This window comes from Homo sapiens, chromosome 5 (genome assembly GCF_000001405.40).
Source record: "Homo sapiens chromosome 5, GRCh38.p14 Primary Assembly".
In the NCBI taxonomy this organism is placed as follows: domain Eukaryota; kingdom Metazoa; phylum Chordata; class Mammalia; order Primates; family Hominidae; genus Homo; species Homo sapiens.
The window spans coordinates 146,810,673-146,833,617 of NC_000005.10; the positions used below are offsets into that span (position 1 = coordinate 146,810,673).

At 39.3% G+C, this 22,945-nt stretch overlaps 1 protein-coding gene across 10 annotated transcripts in view, besides 2 other annotated features; it reads right to left on the reverse strand.

The window, feature by feature from the left end:
* PPP2R2B (protein phosphatase 2 regulatory subunit Bbeta) overlaps positions 1 to 22,945 on the reverse strand; it is a 500,779-nt gene that overhangs the window by 229,931 nt on the left and 247,903 nt on the right. The gene's annotated exons all lie outside the window — the stretch shown is intronic.
* Positions 6,248 to 6,774: an enhancer, noted in NCBI's record as "OCT4-NANOG hESC enhancer chr5:146196483-146197009 (GRCh37/hg19 assembly coordinates)". NCBI's record gives its function as "activates a minimal SCP1, AML or CMV promoter by ChIP-STARR-seq in naive and primed H9 embryonic stem cells {active_cell/tissue: H9 hESC(naive and primed)}" and the evidence as "EXISTENCE:reporter gene assay evidence [ECO:0000049][PMID:30033119]".
* Positions 14,451 to 14,651: a silencer, noted in NCBI's record as "peak5525 fragment used in MPRA reporter construct". NCBI's record gives its function as "represses an SCP1 promoter by STARR-seq MPRAs in K562 erythroleukemia cells {active_cell/tissue: K562}" and the evidence as "EXISTENCE:reporter gene assay evidence [ECO:0000049][PMID:32103011]".

Genomic DNA, 22,945 nt, shown 5'->3' on the forward strand with positions numbered 1-22,945 from the left:
ATTCACTGACTTCCAGTCTCTATGGCTCCTGTCTTTTTTTTTCTTTTTAATATATATATTTTTTATTATACTTTAAGTTCTAGGGTACATGTGCACAATGTGTGGGTTTGTTACATATGTATACATGTGCCATGTTGGTGTGCTGCACCCATTAACTAGTCATTTACATTAGGTATATCTCCTAATGCTATCCGTCCCCCCTCCCCCCACCCCACAACAGGCCCCAGTGTGTGATGTTCCCCTTCCTGTGTCCAAGTGTTCTCATTGTTCAATTCCCACCTATGAGTGAGAACATGCGGTGTTTGGTTTTTTGTCCTTGTGATAGTTTGCCGAGAATGATGGTTTTTAGATGGAGTCTTGCCCTGTCGCCACCCAGGCTGGAGTGCAATGGTGCGATCTCAGCTCACTGCAACCTCCGCCTCCCGGGTTCAAGTAATTCTCCTGCCTCAGCCTCCCGAGTAGCTGGGATTACAGGCATGTGCCACCATGCCTAATTTTTGCATTTTTAGCAGAGACAGGGTTTCACCATGTTGGCCAGGATTGTCTTGATCTCTTGACCTTGTGATCTGTCCACCTCGGCCTCTGAAAGTGCTGGGATTACAGGCGTGAGCCACGGCGTCCAGCCATATGGCTCCTATCTCTATTAGTCTATAGTAAGTGTTTTCCTTGGCTCATCACTCCGCTGAAAGTGTTTCTTTTTTGGAAAACCTTGTCCCACATCTCCATCTGGCTACTCCTTCTTGTTCCTTAGAATCTTAGATTTGGTTTCTATTCTCCTGCCATTTGCTATCCTAATGCACATTAAACTTTATAGCAATTTCTTTATTAATCATTTGATTTTTCCCAATAGACTGTAAGCTCTGTGAACATAGGATCAACTATGTATTTTTTTTTTTTTTTTTTTTTGAGAAGGAATCTCACTCTGTTGCCCAGGCTGGAGTGCAGTGGCGCGATCTCGGCTCACTGCAACCTCCACCTCCCGGGTTCAAGCAGTTCTCCTGCCTCAGCCTCTCAAGTAGCTGTGACTACAGGCGCCCACCACCACGCCCGGCTAATTTTTTTTTTTTTTTTTTTTCAGTAGAGACGGGGTTTCACCTTGTTAGCCAGGATGGTCTCGATCTCCTGACCTCGTGATCTGCCCGCCTCGGCCACCCAAAGTGCTGGGATTACAGGTGTGAGCCACCGTGCCCAGCCAGAATCAACTATGTATTATCTGTCACTATCACACTAAAGCCTGGCACTATGCCTGACACACTGTTCATTCATCACATCTCGATGCATATTTGCTAAATGAACTCCTACTCACTGGGGAAGTTGAGATACAGACTTGCCCAGTTTAATCTAAGAGATCAGGAGCCTGGATTAGTGGTCTTATTGGCATGCTACAGGGAACTGGGCCCAAGAGCTCTGAGTTAACTTTGGACTTTTGTCACTAACTAGTTCTGTGACGTGTGGAAGTTTCCATTACCTCTCTGAACCTTAGTTTCCCTCTTAGCTCAAAACAGAGGAAAGTGAAACCTGGCACTCTGACCTCATGGGGTGAGAATAAAATCCAAATATATGTGAAACAGCTTGCAAAGGTATAAGAACTATACACATGGATGGTATCTCATTTGCCTCAAAATAACAAAGTTTCTCTTCAGCATGAAGATTCTGGAGCCTAGTAGATCTAAGGAGGCTTCGTTGTAGTACTTATCTGTTTGTTTATGTTTGGGCAAGTTGTCTTCTCTGAACTGAACTAATGAGGATAATAGCACTACTACTTTCCCAGGCCTCTTCTGAGGACTAAGTAACTCTAGTGATAGCAGTATATATATATATACTGTATATATATACAGTATATATATATATACTGCTATCACTAGAGTTACTTAGTCCTCAGAAGAGTATATATATATATATATATATATATATATATACACTGCTATCACTAGAGTTACTTTATATATATATATATATACTGCTATCACTAGAGTTACTTAGTCCTCAGAAGAGTATATATATATATATATATATATATATATATATACACTGCTATCACTAGAGTTACTTTATATATATATATATATATATACTGCTATCACTAGAGTTACTTAATGTGTGTGTGTGTGTATATGTGTGTATATATATATATATATATATATATATATATATATACACACACATTTCCATTATAAAACCATCAGATTGTGTGAGACTTACTCACTACCATGAGAACAGTATGGGGAAAACCACCCCCATGATTCAGTTATATCCCGCTGGGTCCCTCTCACAACAGGAGGGAATTATGGGAGCTACAATTCAAGATGAGATTTGGGTGGGGACACAGCCAAACCATACCAGATGGGGAAACTCAGATAGAGCAAGTAATTTGCCCAAAGTCACACATCTGGTGAATCATCCAGCCAGGACATATATATATCTACATATACATATACTATGAATGAAGCTATATATATAGTGTGTGTGTGTATATATATGTATATATGCTATATGTAGAGTATGAAGCAGTGCCTAGTGCATAGGAAGCACCTAATAAATCTTAGCCTTTTAATAATCATTAAAAAAAACCCCTCTCTTTACACACAAACACACATACCTCACATACCAATTCAACTTCTACACCAACAATTTTGGAGTTACATTATTTGGATGCATATTTTTGAAAATGTCACTAAGAATAAATATTACCTCATGCCCAACCTCAGGAGCAGCTTCTTCAAGCACAGTTACCTATAAACTTTGTACCAAATAGTATGCCCCTCCAAAACCAACAGACCCTTCTTTGTAGAAGTCAAGTGGAAGCAACGCTTAGAGGTATGAATCAGTGTGTCGCTCGGTTCCATGGAGACAAATCCAAGTAGGCACTGGCAGCTGTCCGGGTCCTCAGTGAGCTGAAGCAGGCCACATGGCAAGATAATTTTTAAAGTTTCTTAGCATCAATAAAACACCTCCTTTTTAAGAGCTCCATCTCTTAATTCAAAGTCGAAACCTTCTATTTTCCACTGCTCTGCTCCGCTGCTATTTCAGTTATTAGAACACCTGCTGTCTGAACGAGTTTGCCTCCCAAATAGCCGAATAATCAAAAGATGAGGAGACTTGCTTAAGCAGCAGGAAGGAAAACTGGTGAAAGAAAGAAAGGGTTGACAGGCAGCAAGAGGAGGAGAATCCAGGAATAAATGGGACAGAAACGGAGAGAGCAAGCAGGAGGAGTCCTGGCAAGATGGCAACAGTTTAGACCAGGACAGGAAGTGGCAAGAACAGAGAAGAGACAACACCACACTCAGGAGAAGGCAGGAGAAAAGGGAAGTAAAATTGCTAAACCCTCTCACTTGAAGAATATCAGTAAGGCAGTGGATTGTGGCAGTTAAAGCCATGACTTCGGACACATAGAACAGGGACTGAAAACTGTGCATACAAAGTATGCACTCAGTAAATGCTTTATAATAGATTATGAGCATCAGAATGGGGGTAAAACACTCCCTCCCCAAATAAATACTGAAGGTAGAGAAAACAGCTAAAAAAAAAAAAAAACCCTCCATATCCTATGGTCTTTTTTTTTCTCTTTTTTGGGGAGACAATGTTAGTTTTCTAATTTGCCATCTTCTTCAAACGCTGCTTTCTTCCCTTGTAGCTCTTCTACATGAAATCCAAAGATGACAGGTCCTTATGTTACAGTAGGTAGCTATTCAGAAATGAGCAGAGTAGGAGAGGCCTCCCCTGCAACACACACCAGGAATGTCAGGAGACCATCAGGTGATGGTCAGGCAGTGTTAACTGTCTCTCTAAAATAATAATTGGTCATGGCCAGTGCCAGGGAAAGGCACCCAATAGATGGGAAAGTCTCCCAACAGACAGAAACATCTGAAACTGGTGATCAGCAGCTTCCTGATAAGATCTCAGGAGTTGGGTGAATGGGCTCAAGCATGCGCACTAAGGCAAAATGGCAGATTACCTCCCTCTGGAACACTGGATTGGTAAGGGGAAAAGCACCTCAAGTGAGCATGTATACAACTTTAGTAAACACATTGCACATGTGGTCCCCCCCAAGTGCTGGCAGGCCACTGCTCATGCAGACAGCCCACCCCAAGGGAAGAATCAGGAAAGAACATAAGACCCCAGAGGTATGACAACATGGAAAAACCCCAAGTCAAAAGTCAAACTGCGCACTTGATCTCTCAAGTTGTCTGCTTGGCCCTCTTCCAAGTGCACTTTCCTTCCTTTCACCCCTGCCTTGGTCTCTCCTTCTGTCTTATGCCCCTCAGTTGAATTCTTTCTTCTGAGGAGGCAAGAATTGAGGTTGCTGTAGACCTGTACAGATTTGCCTCTGGTAACATACTTTGGTGCCACGTGACTCAGATACGTTCCGCTGCTAACACTTACAGTAGAAGGAGACATGGAAGCCATCTATCCTACTTCTGCAGAGCTGGAATCTCCTTCATATCATCCCTGAAGGATGTGCATGCTGGCACTGCCTACACTAGTCTGCTGGGGGAAATCCAATGCTTCCAGCAAGGTCCATTCTCTTCCTTGTGAACTGGATTATGAAAGTTCCTCCTCTTAACAAGCCAAAGCACTCTCTGCTGTTAACATCATCACTGGTCTTAAGACCTTCTGGAGTTAATTACAAAACCCGGATTTCCTCTTCCAATGTATATTCATTCAACACTCCTGCACACACTTTCATTGTATGCTTATTGAGAGCAGAGAGGCCATCTGTCAGGTTAATTTTTATCTTAGCAGGTTGCACAATACTTGACACACAGTAGGTGCTCACTAAGCATCTGAATGAATAAATGATATTCACAGAATCAAAGGATTTAGAGTACCTACTAGGGGTGGTAAACTAAATGCCTTCAGGAGTGCACGCAAGTGAAATACTTAAGAGGAAGGGCGTGGCTTGTGGCTAATTGAGGAGTGAATGTTCTGCCTAAAGGCATTTGAATTCAAATTGTTTAGAAGGGTTGATTAGCTGGACAGACCCTTTTACTGTTGGGTTGCAGCCTGCGGGCTCCTGGTTTGTGACTCCATTTTAACCTATCCCCACTTTTCCACACACACACACTTTAGGAATCTGAATAGTCTCAATTATATTCTTTACAAATGCTAACTCATGCTCAGAACATCCCTAAGGATAGGGAAAGCAAGATCATCAAAACTGTTCATTATTTAAAAATCTATTACTTTGAGCTGAAAGCTGCTTTGTTGAAATTTTTCCCAATTGCTCCTAGTCGTGCCCTTTGAGGGTGGCAAAACAAATTGACTTCTTTTCTGTTTGATTTCCCTGCAAATATTTGAAGATATTCACCACTCCTCCAACCTAAGTCTGCTCCAGATTAAAGTTCTTTCAGCCGTTCCTAATATCAAGATTATGAAACCTCCACTATCTTGACCACTCCACTATATCAATATTCCCCTCCAAAGTGTAGTGGCACACACTTACAGTATTATTAATAATAGTGGGCTCATGCCTGTAATCCTAGCACTTTTGGATGCTGAGGCAGGAGGCTCGCTTGAGCCCAGGAGTTTGAGACCAGCCTGGGCAACAAAGCGAGACTCCATCTCTACAAAAAAATTAAAAAATTGGCTGGGCATGGCAGCACAAGCCTGTAATTTTAGCTACTAGGGAGGCTAGGAGGATGACTTGAGCCCAGGAGGCTGAGGCGGCAGTGAGCCATGATTGCACTACTGCACTCCACTCTGAACAACAGAGTGAGACTATCTCCAAAAACAACAATACTGAAACATTTTGGAAAAGATCCAAATATATGACAATAGAAATTTAGTAAATTTTGGTCATCTTCTATAATAGAGTTTATGCGCCTATTAAACATTATGCTAAAGAGCATAGAAAAATATCCATATCAGAATATTAAATGAAATCACATTACAAAATGATGCATTCAACATGATTTCAATTTTATTTAAAACTGATTTGAGTAAGTAGAAAACTTAGCATGAAGACTGCATTGTCCAAAAATTACTTCAATAATCAAATAAAAACACAGGTTTTTTATTAAACATGATTTCAGAAATTAAAAATTTAAGATTGTAGCTCCTTTAACATTGAAGAGTCTTTTGTCAGTTTTTAAAGTCAGAGACCCATATGGAGGAGCTGATTCCAAAATCCATGTTCTAATTCCTTATCCCTTCTCCCCAAGATTTGAATACAGTCAGTTTGGGTGGGGCCTGAGCATATTTTTAAAAAGACTGTCAGGTGATTTTGATGAATACCAGTGGTTAAGAATTAAACTAGACAGATTTCTATCAATGCTGTCAAACAACATATACCTTTTCTTGGCAGCTGCATGACTTTTTGACTTCCTCTTGGAGTTAACCAAGACCCTGGAGGCTTGTTGTGATGAGCGTTGCTCTTGAGGGCTACTCCCCTCCCTGTATGCAGGCAGGTGGCTTTGTAAAACCTCAGGAAAGATACTGGCATTGATCCCCACACAATTCATGTTGCTACATTTGGCCCATCATCTAGAGTGTCAAGATCTTTCTTTTCTGCCTCCTCCTTCCAGCTGTGACTCATCCTAAAACTCAATCAGAATGACATTTAAGGTACTTATGCAAATCTCCTCTTTCCCAAGGTAAACATTCCCAATGTCATCAACCAGAAAGCCTAAGACATTTTTCTCTTCCCCACTGACTTGGACACCTGGCCTAGATGCTCACCACTTAGGACAGAGATGCTACCTCCATCCCACCACCACCATTTTTAAAACTTTGATGATAAATGTATTTATATGCAAATAAATTTGCATATATTTATAGTGTACAGTGTGATCTTTTAATATATGTGTGCATTGTGAAATGGTAAATCAGGCAAATTGATATTTCCGTCATCTCACACAATTTTTTTTTATTGTGAGCCTTTTCCCTTTTAATGTAGATCCTGGAACAGGATTTGAAAAGGCTCCAATTTGTTGCATAAAAGTCTCTAACTAGGGTTTTTAATGACTAAAGTAACATAGGCTTGTTGTAAAATATTTTTCAAAAATTTATGGAAACTCGTAAAATAAAAGTCTCCCCCATTTCCAAGCTCATTTTCCCAAGGCAATCACTATTCACAACTTAGTGGTATGCGCCACTTTACATCTCTCATCTAGGCTCAGTTTCATTTCTTTGACCAACGGTCAAATATTTCTGCCACCCATTTCATAACAATTTATTCTGATGCCAATTTAAAATTATCAAATCAGTTCATGACTCTGGCTCCCATAAAACACCATCCTCCCATTTGCTCACACTGCTCTGCACCAATTCCTTTTCTCCAAAGTCATGGATCCCTTTCCACCTCATGGCCTTGCCTATGCTGTTTTGTCTGCCTGGCAGGGCTGCCCTATGCCCAAACCTTAACTTTAAGATCACTTCTTCAGGGCAGCCTTCCCTGATCTTGTAAGACTGGGTCAGGTTATCTCAGCACAGCCTATGATGACTCCATTACAGAGGAGCCATCCTGCTAGGAGTTTATATACTCCTTTTGTGACTATTTGATCAAAGTACGTCTTTCCCGCCAAATTTTAAACTCTACGAGGGCATGGAAAGCTGTCTTGATAGCTGCTGTGGCCATAGCACTTAGTACTGTGTCTGGCACATAAGACAGCCAAACGATATTTGTTGAATAATTAATGAAATAAATTGCAAAGACATTCATCTATGCTAAAAAAAATTCACTGCAAAAAAAAAAAAATCACGAGGATTTTTATAATCCCTTCAACACAATCTCTGCTCCCTCTAACTTGGTGGTTGATGGGCATTTTCTCCTCACTCTTATTCCATATGATAAGATGTCCCCATCCCTGCCCCAAGATTTATAAGCCACTGAGCTCTTCTTGAAAACATATTGAAGAAACATCACCAACATTCACCCCATTGTTCCGAGGGAACTCACATATTTTGAGCACCTTACCATGTGCGGGTTCTATCCCCTTGCATCTTAAGTTATGTAATTTTCTCAGTGACCCATGATATAGTTTCATTTTTTCTACTTTACAGATGAGAAATCTGAGACCCAGAGAGACTAAGTAGCTTGGCTAAGATGATAGAGGAAGTAATGGTAGGGATTTGACATTAACAGGTTAATAGAAAGGATGCTGGCCTGGACATGAGGAGATGTGAGTTTTAGTCTATCTTCTTCCATGAATTCCTTGGGTAACCTTGAGCCATTACTTTAACCTCCAAGTTTTGACTCCCCGATGTAAAGATAGTGTCTGAAGAATTGGCACAAGGCCTGCAAAAGTTTCTGACCAAGGATAAAGTACAGCATGCTGTAAAGATGATCATTATGCCTCTTTCCCCTACCCTCAAGAACCAACAGATGGCCTTCTCTGCATTTGAAAATCAAACATTCCTACCAAGGTCAGTTATGCCTACAAATCAGTGCAGGCTTTCTTCTCGGGCACAAAATCTCCAGCTGAAAATCAGCTCTAATTCTTTCTCTTGCTCAGGCCTTGCTCTGAATAATATATTTTGAAAATGAACTATTTTGGGGCCAAGAATCTGTAAATCTGAGCTGATTCATCACTTTCACCACCAGGCTGCTGCTCTCCTGCATCTTCTGTGTTGTGAGATAAAGATGTTTTTTCTTCACTAACAGTTTCTCAGTGGGCTACATGGAGAGTTCTCCTTTTGTCATGAAAAGATTCTCTGCAAAATACTACAAAACCTAAGGATGAGCACATTCTCAAGAAATCATCTGGAGTAAATAGAACACTGGGGTGGGATGGGAGTATGCAGAGAGAGACACAACCACAGAACAGAAGAGCTGAAATGGAATACAACATGGCACCTCTCTTTGAATGTGGAGATGGCAAAGTGTCAACTCCTGACCTTCCTAACAAAAGAATAAGGAAGTGAAAAAGGTAATTCCAGAAAATGTACTATTTAAAAACTAGCTCCATCTAGCTTTGGAATAGTTATCGTTTCCTCCATAAGATTTAGCTTTCTATGTTTTTTTGTATGAATGTATATTAAAATGAATTTGCTTTTTTTAAAGAAATTACAGAGATACCCTTAAAAACATGCTAGGCAGATTTGTCAAAAATTAAAAATAGAACTACCACATGGTCCAGCAATCCCACTACTTGGTATATATCCCAAGGAAAAGAAATCAGTATGTCAAAGAGATATCTGCACTCCCATGTTTACTGCAACTCCATTCACAATAGCCAAGATAAGAATTGAATGTATAATACAATGGAGTACTATTCAGCCATAAAAAATGAAATTGTGTCATTTGCAGCAACATGGATGAGCCCAGAAAACATTATGATAAGTCAAAGCCAGGTACAGAAAGACAAATAGGCACACAATCTCACTCATATGTGGAATCTAAAAATGTTGATCTCAGAGAAGTAGAGAGTAGAATTGTGGTTACCAGAAATAGGGGATTGGGAGAGGTTGGTCAATGGGTACAAAGCCAGTTAGATGGGAGGAATAAGTTCTGGTGTTCTGTTGCACAGAAGGGTGACTATAGTTAACAATAAGATATTGTAATTTCAAAACATCTAGAAGCAGGAATTTTGAGTGTTCTCACCACAAAGAAATGATACATGTCTGAGGTGATATGTTAATTACCCTCATTTGATTATTATACATTGTATACATGTATCAAAACATCACATTGTACCCATATAGGTACAATAATTTTGTGTCAATTAAACATTAAAAAATTTTAAACACACAAAACAAAACAAAAACCATGCTAGGTAAAATGGAGCAGCCAGTTAAAGAATAAAAGCAATTGGCATGGATTCTCATTTGTGGATAATTGAGAATTGGCCAATAGTTTCCCAGGGGCAGAAAACACTCCTTCAGAAAACCTCCTGTGTTCAGTGGAATTTTAAAATGCAATATAAAAGAGCAATGTGATCACAAAAGCACACTACTGCAATATTATATATAAAAAACGCCATGCTGTTTGGGGATATTTTCTTCCCATTACTATTCCTCTAGGCTATACCTCTACTGAGCTCTAGACCATATTTCCAAATCCACTTGCAACACTGATATCTCCATGTGGAACGTCAGGCTGCTCAAACTCACTGAGTCCTAAATTGACCTCCGTCTCCTCCCCTCTCCAAATCTTCCTCTGCTGCTACTTTCTTCATTTAAGTTCCTAGGACTCCATCCGTCAAATTGCCAACCTAGAGACACAGGATTCATTCTGAGCACTTCTCAGCTGCACCATTGACCTAGATAGAAGCCCTACTAATTCTATCTCAAAATATCCCTCTCATAAATCTCCTTTTCCACGCCATGCCCTCTGCACTGCGCTAGTCCTGGGCCATACCATCTCTCACCAAGATTAGTGCATCGCCTTCTAATAGGCCTCCCTCCTTCCATCATTCCGCCTCCTTGACAGTGGTACATTCAGCCACACCCTGGCTTCTCACCAGGTCACTCACCACACATCACACACAACACAACCTTCTCACATACTAAAAAATATCCACAGAGAAACACACACAATACACAATCTCCAACACCTATATATATATCCACAGACAACACGTGCACATGCATGTGCTTACACACATGTACAATTGCACAAATCCTCAAATACATCAACCCACCTGCCATCCCTTAATACCATACTCTTCTCTCCCATTTCTAGATGTCTCTTAAGGCTATTTTTATCTTCTGAGACCTCCTTTCTTCACTGTCATACCACCCATTAATGCCCCCTTGAAGCTCTGATTTATCCTTGTAGATCAAGCTCAAAGCATGAGCCCACCCTCCCATGAAACAGCTAAGCATGGCTCTCCCTTCTCTGGTTGTCACAGCACTTTGTGGATGTATATCACAATGTACTAAGGTTTGCTAGCCCTGCCTCTAGGCTTAGCCCTGGAGTCCTAAAAAGCAGCAGAACTTAACAGCACAGGCTTTGGGGGCAAACAGAGTTGGGGTGAAACCTCAGTCATCTCTTACTAGCTTGGGAAAGTAAATTCCCTAAGCCCCCTTTTTTCTCACTTCAAAAAAAGATAATAGAGTTGAAATTAGAAATAAGTGAAAAAATTCTAACTAACACTCAGTTAAGACTCAATAAAATGGCAACTATTATTAAAACTATTTAGACCTCATGTGCCTAGTACTCTGCCAAAAAAAAAAAAGCTTAATTACATGAATGGATTTAACTTTCAGCTGGTTCAGTGTCATAAAAAGCATATTCAAGTATGATGCCACATTGTAAATTCCCATTTATGCAAAGTAAGCAAAGGAACTACTAATATTCATATTCACATTTTACCAATGGCAAAATACACACTGACAACGTAAGTAACTGTGTTCAGAACACACAGTGAATCCGTGGCCCAAGTAAGACTAGAACTCAGCCTTTGAGTGTTATTTCCGTGTAAAACATTGTCTCACATTTCAAAAATGAGTCCATCTAAAAATGATATAGCTGTCCAATCCTTTGTACTATGCTGTGTAGTTTTCCTAAATATGCTTATTTTACAAGAAAAGAAAGTTCGTAAAATAACAAATTGGTAAGATGCCAGAAGAAGGACTGGCTCCTCAATTTAGAGCAGAGCCTTGCAAATGAGGATGAACATTTGAAAGAGCGATCTTCTGGAAAGCATAACTCAGATTACATCATTTTCTTGCTTCTAAGCCCTCCAGTGACTTCTCCTTGCTCTCCAAATAAAATCACCCATCTTTTCATGGCCTCCAAGCCTCCATATGGTCTGGATCCTGCCTAACTCTCATACCACTGTTGTCTGTTTCAGTCATCATACTCAGGTTGCACTGGTCTTCTGTTTCTCATACTCTCCACATTCATTACTGCTCCAGGGCCTTTGCATTTACTATTTTCTCTCCAGGAAGTCCTCATTCCCTAAATTTTCTTCATTTTTGGTTTTTTTTTTTTTTTTGCTTTTTAGGTTGTCCTGTCAAGAATACTTCTCCATCTAATATATTTGTTTACCACCCACTCTCTATATCCTTAACTTGTCCTAATCTCTCCATACCATTTATCAACATATAAAATTCTCATTTGCTTTGTGGGTTCTTCCTCCCACAGATTATTATTAGAAAAGAGAGAAATCTTGATCTTGCTCACTTCTTTATGACCAACACATGAAACAGTGATTGATACATAGTAGATATTCAGTAAACATTTGCTAAATGAAGAAATAAGCTTCTTTTATCACCACTAAAGCACCAAGATAAGTCTTTCCGTGCCTTTGTCATCTAGATTTATATAACCTCCTTAAAACTAAAAGCAATGCAGTCCCCAAATTTAGAACTTGTAGGAAGAAGTGAGCAAATTGCAAACATCATTCTTACATCCTTGAGAAAAAAAGACTTTTGTTTTTCTTTATATTTAAGGAAAGCTGAGTCTTTTGGCAAAAGGGACTGTTTGGAGACACTCCCTCCATGTGAACCAAAAGGTTACACATGCTTCTTCTCCAGTTTGGAGCTCAGCCCCCTGTTCTGGTTTCAATCTGGAGATTTCATCTGACAGCCTGCATATCACTACCTATGGTGGACTTGCTCTGTGGCCAGAGTTTACTTCTTCTTCTTCTTCTTTTTTTTGAGATGGAGTCTTGCTCTGTCGCCCAGGCTGGAGTGCAGTGGCATGATCTCGACTCACTGCAACCTCCACCTCCCAGGTTCACTCCATTCTCCTGCCTCAGCCTCCTGAGTAGCTGGGACTACAGGCGCCCACCACAAGGCCCGCCTAATTTTTTTTATTTTTGATAGAGACGGGGTTTCACCATGTTAGCCAGGATGGTCTTGATCTCCTGACCTCGTGATCTGCCCTCCTCGGCCTCTCAAATTGCTGGGATTACAGGCGTGAGCCACTGCACCTGGCCCAGAGTTTACTTAGACGGCACACCACATAACGAGCAGAACGTGCACTGAGATGGGAAGAACAGATTTTCCAAGTAGTTTAATTTCGAGAATTAACTTAAAAATTATCTGGTAACCTCATTCCTAATGTCATAGTGCCACGTCCACTTTAAAGTTTAAAATCTTGGAAATGGATTCAATCATCCATGACAAACATATGTTGTTCTTCTCAAGCAGAAGTATAAAATAATTCTTCTCCCTAACTTTCTGAATTTTCCTTTTAATAACTTGAAAAAATAACAGCCCTTAGTAGCCCACCTGTGTGTTAACAGTGATTTTTGCAAAACATAGCCAAACAGAAGTCCCTGTTTGCCTCATTTCAAGTTAATTTGAAAAAGAAAAGTTGGCTCAACCAAACTTATGCTGTAATGGTCCTTGCTTACAAGTCAGCAAGTACCATCTGAAAGCTTAGGGGTAGCACTCCATTTCCCTCCTGGATCCCTGGTAGTAGATGTGCATGCAAAGTGAATGCAGGTACAAACACCAAGTGCTCTCCCAACAGGTTTCCACTGTCATCTTCTTCACTTATAAGCAGCTAAGCCACAAATTCCCCTCTATCAGATGTCACAGGAAGCTACACAAAGTAGGATTTGAAATGTATATATGTAATTATGTCAAATCTGATGGCAACATAATTTACTGAAGAGCAGAAAGCTTATTGAACATGAGGCTATTTCTATTCCAAAAGCCTAGAACATAGAGTCAGTCTCATCCTCCCAACCCAGCCTTAAAAATCAGATGGAGATTCATGACATGGAAAGAATCACAGGGAAGATGTTCACATTGGTAGTGAGTTTGCCTCAATTTGTGTTCCTCATGACCATCTCTAGTTTTCAGGCCAATAAGGGCAGATACTGCTGGTAGAGCAGCCATGTTATATGATTTCCAATTTGTGAGTTAGCTCTTTGGCTCCCTAGGGTACCTTCAATAGCTATAGAATTAGCATCTATTGCTTTTCATTTGGTTCTTATCATCACAGAAGAGGGTTGGCCATACATAGAATAGTTGAGTTTTGGGGGAAAGCATTGGGTAAGAGGAAGGGAGTATGCACTAGAAAAAGTAGACTCATGACACACACTGTGGTAGAGTGGTAATTTTTGAAACGGGCTTTAACAGAGATAGAAAGAAAACTGTATGAAAACTCTTCATAATAATTAATTAAGCCTCTCTTAGTCCTAAATTGAGAAAAATGCAAGAATCAATACTTTTTTTTTTTTTTTTGAGATGGGGCTGAAGTGCAGTGGTGCAATCTCGGCTCACTGTAACCTCTGCCTCCTGGGTTCAAATGATTCTTCCACCTCAGCCTCCTGAGTAGCTGGGATTACAGGTGCCCACCACCACACCTGGCTAATTTTTTGTGTGTGTTTTTAGTAGAGACAGGGCTTCACCATGTTGGCCAGGCTTGTCTTGAACTCCTGGCCTCAAGTGATCCACCCGCCTTAGCCTCCCCAAAGTTCTGGGATTACAGGCGTGAGCCACCGCACCCAGCCAAAAATCAATAATTTTAAATGTTTCATACTTATTGACATTAATGAAACCTCCTGAAAAAGCATTTAATGCAACTCCGCTGATATTTTAAATTTACGTTCCTCACATTACAAGGTCAGGTCAGTTCCCCTGGGTTTCACAGAGCCGACGTTATCACATAGACACGACTTTGTTCATGCTGTGTATGGAACAACCCTTCAGAGGGTTGCTGAGCTGTCCATGGTGCTGGGAAAGCAGCTGTTTCTCCTCTTTGGTTCAGCAGGAGACACACATTCAGAAATGATGTGTTATCTCACAGTGCAGTGGCCCACACTTCCATGTTTATTTGGAAAAAGAAAACACATAGTATCTCCTAGTATTCTGCTTTCCTAACAAGCTTTGATTTGTTTAGGCTACCTCAATAAAGTATCTCTTTTTACTCTTTTACCCTTCAGATATTAACAACCACATTGAGGTACATGAATTTGCACTTGCTTGCATTTCTATCATTGCACTTGCTTGCATTTCTATTTGTATCATAAGTGTTTTTTCTTTCCAAACAGACTATAAGTGTAAGGGTTAAAGAAATACTTATGGATGGATTGAAATAACTGAATTCAAATTTAGGCTCCTCCACCTATTAGCTGATAACCTGGTTGAGTCAAGTTACTTTTTCTGCCTCAGTTTCTTTAACTGTAAAAAGAGGTGATTGAAAGCCACTAACTTTTTGGAAGTGCTGTAGTTTAAAGTATGCAGTGCTATATTTTAAAGTATTTTGCAAACTGTGACATGCTATGACAGTGTGCTATGACATGCTATGAAAGCAAGCATTTATCATGCCACTTTTTTTGTTGTTGGTATCACATGTAGTAAGATATTCTTGACAGAGCATTAATAGCATTAATAATTGAAGTTTTTGTTGTCTCCTCCAATTCAGAACAGGCCTATGGGAATGAAGGATCCATCTCATGCCAGGGGAATCTTATGAGTTATAGATATAAGAAGAATTTCACTTGAAAGAAAGTAGAGAAGTGTAGAAGCTGTAAAATTTATATCCGGTAAATAATTCAAAGATTAATACCCAAAGTCTCAGTCATCTCTAGGCTCATCATCATTGCCACTTCCTCGGTACTTGGCATTTCTTTTTTAAAAATGCCCCAGTCATGATTTAATCTGAACACATTCTCTTTAAATGATCTAGGAATAATTAAATATCCTGCCCAACATAATAAAGGGTGGCAGAGACAAAACTTGACATCGGATTATTCTGAATTCAAATTCTCAACCATCATGCCTACAGCCTTCTAAATCTAAATGAGTCTTCTAGGTATAGGTTAAATTAGGAGCTGGCCAAAACTTCTTGGATCCCTTATTCTGAAGTAGAACCTTAGAGAGCCTAAGTCTAGCATTTTAGAGACCACCCTGAAAATAAGCTTTTTTAGGAGGAGGGGGATAAGGGAAAATTTGCTTTGTGAATCTAACCCAAGATAATCTTCAGTTTCCATGATGTAACAAACCAGAGGTTGCACAAGCTGCTGGAATCACAAGAACACTAACTTACCACCTACCAATTTACCAAGTCAGTATCCATGAACCAACTAGAACTTACTTTTTGTGCAGCATAAAGAAATTCAATTAAAATGCATTCTGGTGGCGTTTTCAAAACTCAGCAACTTTAATAATTACACCATTTAAAAATTGCATTTAGTGCCATTACTTCTCATCCATTTAAATCCTCCCCATTCTTAAAGATCCAGTTGATATTCCCCTCCCTCCAAGAACATTCACAGATGGCTCCAACTTACAGTAATTTAATCTTTCTCTGCATACATATCACTTCTGCCTACACCATACATCTGTCAACAAATCATCTATTGCCCTGGAATATCTGTTTTTTACCTTGCTATCTAACTTATATTAATTGGCTTTTCGAATCTATACCTTATGTTTTCAACCTTACTGGAACACTAGCTCATCACAGGTGCTCAATAAATATTTGAACTAAAGTTAGCACTTACATTTTATTGAAACTGCTTAAGTTTCTGCTTCTTCCCCATTCTTTTCCCCCATTTTAAGTCCACAAAGGTATGGCTACTTTTTCTGTCATAATCAATACCGTATCCTTGGGACCAAGGATATCATAGGGGCTTATGTGCATGCTTGGAATAACTACAGTAATAAAAATATGACCTAGCTGAATTGCCAGGGAATTAGGAGAAATTTTCAAATCTCTAGTTCAAGGAGATAAGCTATGCTCCTAAGTGAATTTATTTTATTTCAGATGAGAATCACTTTCAAAGTACCATTGGGAGATTTGTGTTTGTAAATTCTGTTCTCAGCTACAACAAAAAATGTAGCACAGACCATAGATCAAGGCATAGAGTAAGGTAAAATACAATACGAATAAAAGGGAAAGAGCACCCAGAACACATCGGTTATTTTCAAAATGTCTTATGTAAAGACTGAGGCATTATGCTTCAGCACAGAGCTGAGAAGAAATTTGCATGAACCCTTTCAAGAGCTTGCAAGCTGCCTTAACTCCATTTATTTATGTATTTTTCAGGAATGTTTATTGTGGTAGATGTTAGGGATAGAGAAGTGAACAAAACCAATATAGTCTTGCCCTCATAGAATCCACATTCTAACAAAATGAGAAAATAAAGGAAATTTCTCCCATTCATTTATATAATAAGTATTGATAAAGTATCGACTCCATGCACAGCATTGGGTTTCACTTTCCTGGCTTTGCTGCTCTGATATTACTGAGGGTAGAAGAGATGACACAAGCAGTTAATCTGATTTAATAAATCCTTTAATTCTGTCGGTAAATACTGGGAAGGAAAGGGGATCATGGAGAAAGAGGGCCCAGAAATAGACATTAAGCCCTTTTTCTGTCGTCTTCCTACACTTTAGTAATATTAAGACAGTTCCTTGAGAAAGAGAGCAATCTCTGCCTTGCTCAGGGGAAAAAGAATTGGGAGTCTCCATGGCCTAGTTGAAGAGAGAGAGAGAGAGAGAGAGAGACAGAGACAGAGACAGAGACAGACAATCATGTACGCTTTCTTTCATGGTGGCGTCCTGGCTGCTGCAATAGTTGCAACTCAAGGAGGTTAGGAGCAGCCCCCTCCTGCATGATCATGCATTATCCCATGAATTCTACCATCCATAATGCACATTCTCTAGTTGAAGGTTTTATTTTCCCTTTTCTTTGTTGTAATGGAATTTTCTATTATACCCTAAAATATTACTTTTACTTTTTTTAAAAAAAAAAAAGACATTCTCTTGCTGTTTCACATATAGTTCTTAGATTAATACTCAGATCCATTTAACATCATAAAAGAGAAACTTCTGTATCAATGACCAAATCAGTGGGTGAGATCTACAAACTAGAATCAGGGCTGGTGCATTGCTTTCAGAATGTTCCTTATTTATAGACAGCTTAATTGCATTAAGTGCCAAAGAATGTACTGCTTTCTTTGTAATGAGTTTTTATGGTCTTAGTGTTCAGAAGCTCAGATTCCATCTGTGACAGCAGAATGTTGTAGAATTCAGCTATTAATAGCTGCTGGTACACACTTACTCAGAGCTAAGAGGCCCAAGGCTGTAGAGACAGCCAGATGGAGATAATACCAGAGAGTGACTGTATGGACAAAAAGGATGATCTTTTTCCCCCCAACACAAAACAGACAACACTAAAAACATGACAATCCTGTTTTATTGCAAGCCAAACTCTCTGAAGAATTTTTTTCCCCCTCTTTGGAATTCTTAGGTCTGGTTCTAAATCACATTTGATTTATCACTGTTTCTGATGTTCAAATAACTCCTTACACAGGTTATAAAACCAAAAACATCCAGATGAGTTAACAACCATTATTTAGTAAAATGATACCAAGTAACCACACAGAAAATCAGGAATAATACAATTTGGCTATTATTCAAGGAAAAATAAACTTTGATACAGGACAGCCTTCCGAATCAGGAATATTTTCCTTAACATAGAGAAGAACGGGTAAGTGAGCTGAATAATACAGACCTTTTTATGGAAAGAAAAAATTTTTTAAAAAAACCTGCTTAATGTGATTTAGAGTGATTATGGCTTTAGTTCATCTTTATTCTAATAAGAGTAAGAAAATTATACTGCAAGACAAGGGTGACATGACCACCATATTTAATGTCATTACATTAATGAATGATTCTTATGGGCCAAAGAACACCAACTCTTGTTTTTTAAAAAATTATAATATCCTGCTAAGTAAATAAGAAAAAAACCTATTTTTTAATCTGTGACTCATTGGTAAATTGAATGGCTAAATTATATTTTGGTGGGAGTACAATTGTAGGTTGCCAAAGAAATGTGGGTTATATGCTTAAGCATAGAAATATTAATGGGCATGCTTGTGTGCAATGAAAAATGATATTAAAAAATGGGTAAGTGTTCAGCATATTTTGTTTCATTTGCAACATGAGTAAAATCACATTGTTCTTCTGAAGCCAAGCACAGCTAAAGGCAAGAGGCACAGATAAGGTGGGGCTGTGATGGGGAGCACTCTGCTGTCATGCTTTAAGGAAGTTTCTGGCAAACAGAGAATGTATGTTAAGTACCTGCAGTGGCCTATTTCATAGAGACACCATATAAAGAGTCCTGCAAAGCAAAACTGACTTATGTAAAAGAGGCGCAGGTTAAGGTTTCATACAGGTGGGTAAGAAAACCAGGATGTCTCAAACTATCCAAAGAATCTAAAGTCTATCCCTACAGACCTCCATTTTTTCACGTAACTACCCCTACTTTGTAGGAAGGACTTTTTTTTAAGTAAAAAACAGGCCTAAAATTTTGATAATCTATTTTCATTGCAGGCAAATTGGCTAGTAGTTTAGGTTCTAGAGTCACACTCATTGTGTTTCATGTTTGCCTCTTACTAGTTGTGTAAACCTGGGCAAGCTTTTGAAGTTGGTAAGCCTGTATTTTCTCAGAGGTAAAATAGATATTGTGAGAATACCTACATCATAGGATTGTGAGGATTATGTAAGATATTCTATGCAAAACATATAGTACAATGGCTAGTATACAGTCAATGCTCAATAGATGTTTCTTTTTTATTCTTATTTTTGTTATTTATTTACATTTTACTTCATTACTGCTATATGTAAAGTGCTTCTAATATTAGAGACATCTGGGTTTGACTTCTGGCTGAGAAACCATGATGAATCTTCTTCAGTTTACTCATCTGTCAAATAAGGCTAATCATAGATATGCCATAGGAATGTGATAAGTAAACTAAATAATTTAAGCCACACGTTTAACACAGTATCTGACACAAGCTAATGCCTATAAAAAACTAGCTGTTAGGATTTCAATCGTAGTCATATCCACTCAATAAGGTTAATGTGACACTTAAATGTGATAATGTATATAAAGCCCAACCAACAGTACCCGAACCTTAAATGTTACCTCACTCTTCCTGCATCTTGGTTAGCCACCTGCATGTATCACATAGTATTTTTAACCAATAGTATCTTCTGTATATTGGCTTTTTTTTTTTTTGAGATGGAGTCTCACTCTGTCGCCCAGGCTGGAGTATAGTGGCATGATCTTGGCTCACTGCAATCCCCGACTCCCGGGTTCAAACATTCTTGGCTAATTTTTGTATTTTTAGTACAGATGGGATTCACCATGTTGGCTAGGCTGGTCTTGAGCTCCTGACCTCAAGTGATCCACCCACCTTGGCCTCCCAAAGTGCTAGGATTGCAGGTGTGAGCCATTGCATCCAACCTCTATATCAGCTTTAATATTTACCAGTCTCCAAGTTCATTAGGTGACTTGCTACCATACTATCATTTCACAAAGCGATTGTGGTACAATTATGTACTGCATAACAATGTTTCAGTTTATGATGAACCAATGTGTGATGGTGGTCCCATGAGATTTTAACAGGGCTAAAAATATTCCTATTGCCTAGTGATGTTGCAGCCATCATAATGCCAGAGTGCAATGCATTACTCAGGTGTTTGTGGTGATGGTGGTATAAACAAACCTACTCTGCTGTCAGTTGTATAAAAGTAGAGCACATACCGTTATGTACAGTATGTGATACTCAATCATGATAATAAATGACTATGTTACTCGTTATGTATACTATACTTTTTATCATTATTTCAGAGTGTACTCCTTCTGCTTATAAAAAAAAAGTTAACCTTTATTAAAAAGTCTCTGGGTTGCTGAGCACAGTGGCTCATGCCTGTAATCTCAGCACTTTGGGAGGCTGAGACAGGTGGATTACCTAAGGTAAGAAGTTTGAGACCAGCCTGGGCAACATGGCGAAACCCCATCTCTACTAAAAATACAAAAATTAGCCGAGTGTGGTGGCAGGTGCCTGTAAGCCCAGCTACTCGGGAGGCTGAGGCAGGAGAATCACTTGAACCCGGAAGACTGAGGTTGCAGTGAGCCGAGATTGCGGCACTGCACTCCAGCCTGGGGGATAGAATGAGACTCCATCTCTCAAAAAAAAAAAAAAAAAAAAAAAAAGCCTCTGGGTTGATAGGTACAGCAAACCACTATGGCACACATTTACCTATGTAACAAACCTGCACATCCTGCACATGTACCTCGGAACTTAAAATAAAAAATTTAAAAAAGCATCAGGTTAGCCAGGCGTGGTGGCACATGCCTGTAATCCCAGCTACTCAGGAGGCTGAGGCAGGAGAATCCTTGAACCTGGGAGGCGGAGGCTGCAGTGAGCCGAGATTGTGCCAGCTTGGGTGACACTCCAGCTTGGGTGACAGAGTGAGACTTCGTCTTTGACAAAAGAATAAGCCTCAGGCAAGTCCTTCAGGAGGTATTCCAGAGGAAGGCATTGTTATTTTAGGTGATGACAGCTCCATGCATCTTATTGCCTTTGAAGGCCTTCCAGTGGGACAACATGTGGAGGTGGAAGACAGTGACATTGATAATCCTGACCCTGTGTAGGCCTAAGGTAACATGTGTTCTTTTGTTTCTTAAGGTTTAACAAACAAGTTTAAAAAGTAAAACATTAATGGGAAAGAGCTTATAGAACAAGGATATACAGAAAGATAAAAATTTTGCATAGTTGTGTGTTTGTGTTTTAAGCTAAATGTTATTACAAAACAGTCAAAAAGTTAAAAAAATTAAAAAGTTTATAAAGTAAAAGTTATAGTCAGCTAAGCTTAACTTATTATTGAAGAAAGACTTTTAAAAAATAAATTTAGCATAGCCTAGGTTTACAGTGTTTATAGCAGTGTACAATAATGTCCTTGGCCTTCACATTCACTCACTAGTCAGTGACTCACCCAGAACAACTTTCAGTCCTGAAAGCTCCATTCATGGTAAGTGCCCTACACAAGTAAGTGTGCCATTTTTAATCTTTTTTTTTTTTTTTTTTTTTTTTTTTTTGAGACAGAGTTTCACTCTTATTGCCTGGGCTGGAGTGCAGTGAAGCGATGTTGGCTCACCGCAACCTCCGCCTCCTGGGTTCAAGTGATTCTCCTGCCTCAGCCTCCCAAGTAGCTGAGATTACAGGTGCCTGCCACCACACCCAGCTAGTTTTTTTGTATTTTTAGTAGAGACAGAGTTTCATATTGGCCAGGCTGGTCTTGAACTCCTGACCTTAGGAGATCCACCTGCCTCGGCCTCCCAAAATGCTGGGATTACAGGCATGAGCCACTGTGCCCGGCCATTTTTAATCATTTATATCATATTTTTACTATGCTTTTTCTATGTTGAGATACACAAATGCTTACCATTGTGTTATGATTGCCTACACTATTCAGAAGAGTAACATGCTGTACAGGTTTATAGTCCAGGAGCAATAGCCTATACCATATAGCCTAGGTGTGCAGTAGGCTATACCACCCCAGGTTTGTGTAAGTACACTCTGGTGTTCACACAAGGATGAAATTGCCTAATGGCACACTTCTCAGAACATATCCCTATCATTAACTGACGCATGACTGTGTGTATATTAATATCACAAGCCCTTTGCAAACTAGATAGGGAAGGTATTTCATTCTCATTTTCATGCTTTAGTTAATATCAGAGAGCCACCAACTTAAAATATTTCCACATACTTCCAGCTGAAACTTCACAGGCTGCTTTCATTTTTTACTTAGTTTCTAACATTATGATTTCTGAAATTTCCACATTAGCTCATCACTTCAAAATGCCTTTAATGCCAATATATCAAGCCCATCATCAAACAGATCATCTTACATATTTGTGCAGTGTGTGAGGCTCTAAGTGAACACTTTCTACAAAGGGAATTTTTATCTACATCCCCAAGTAGAAGAGAGATTGTGCTGTGCTCCTTTCCTTCTCATGGAAGGTTTACTAATAATTTCATTGTCATCTTTAAGCCTTTCACTAGTCACAGCAAGAGTACATGCAAGGATCTAAGCAAACAAAGCTCTTAGGCTGCCTTGAAACAAAACCTGTCTGTACCATCATACTAAATTCCCCCAGCCTATTTCAACACTGGCAATGAAAACATGGCATTTTTCACCTTGACTTTACTTTCAATGTGACAAGGCAGTGTCTAACTTCAGGGCATTCCGTGGTTATGAAATCTTGACACCTCACCTACTGTGGGAATGACATGTTGAAACA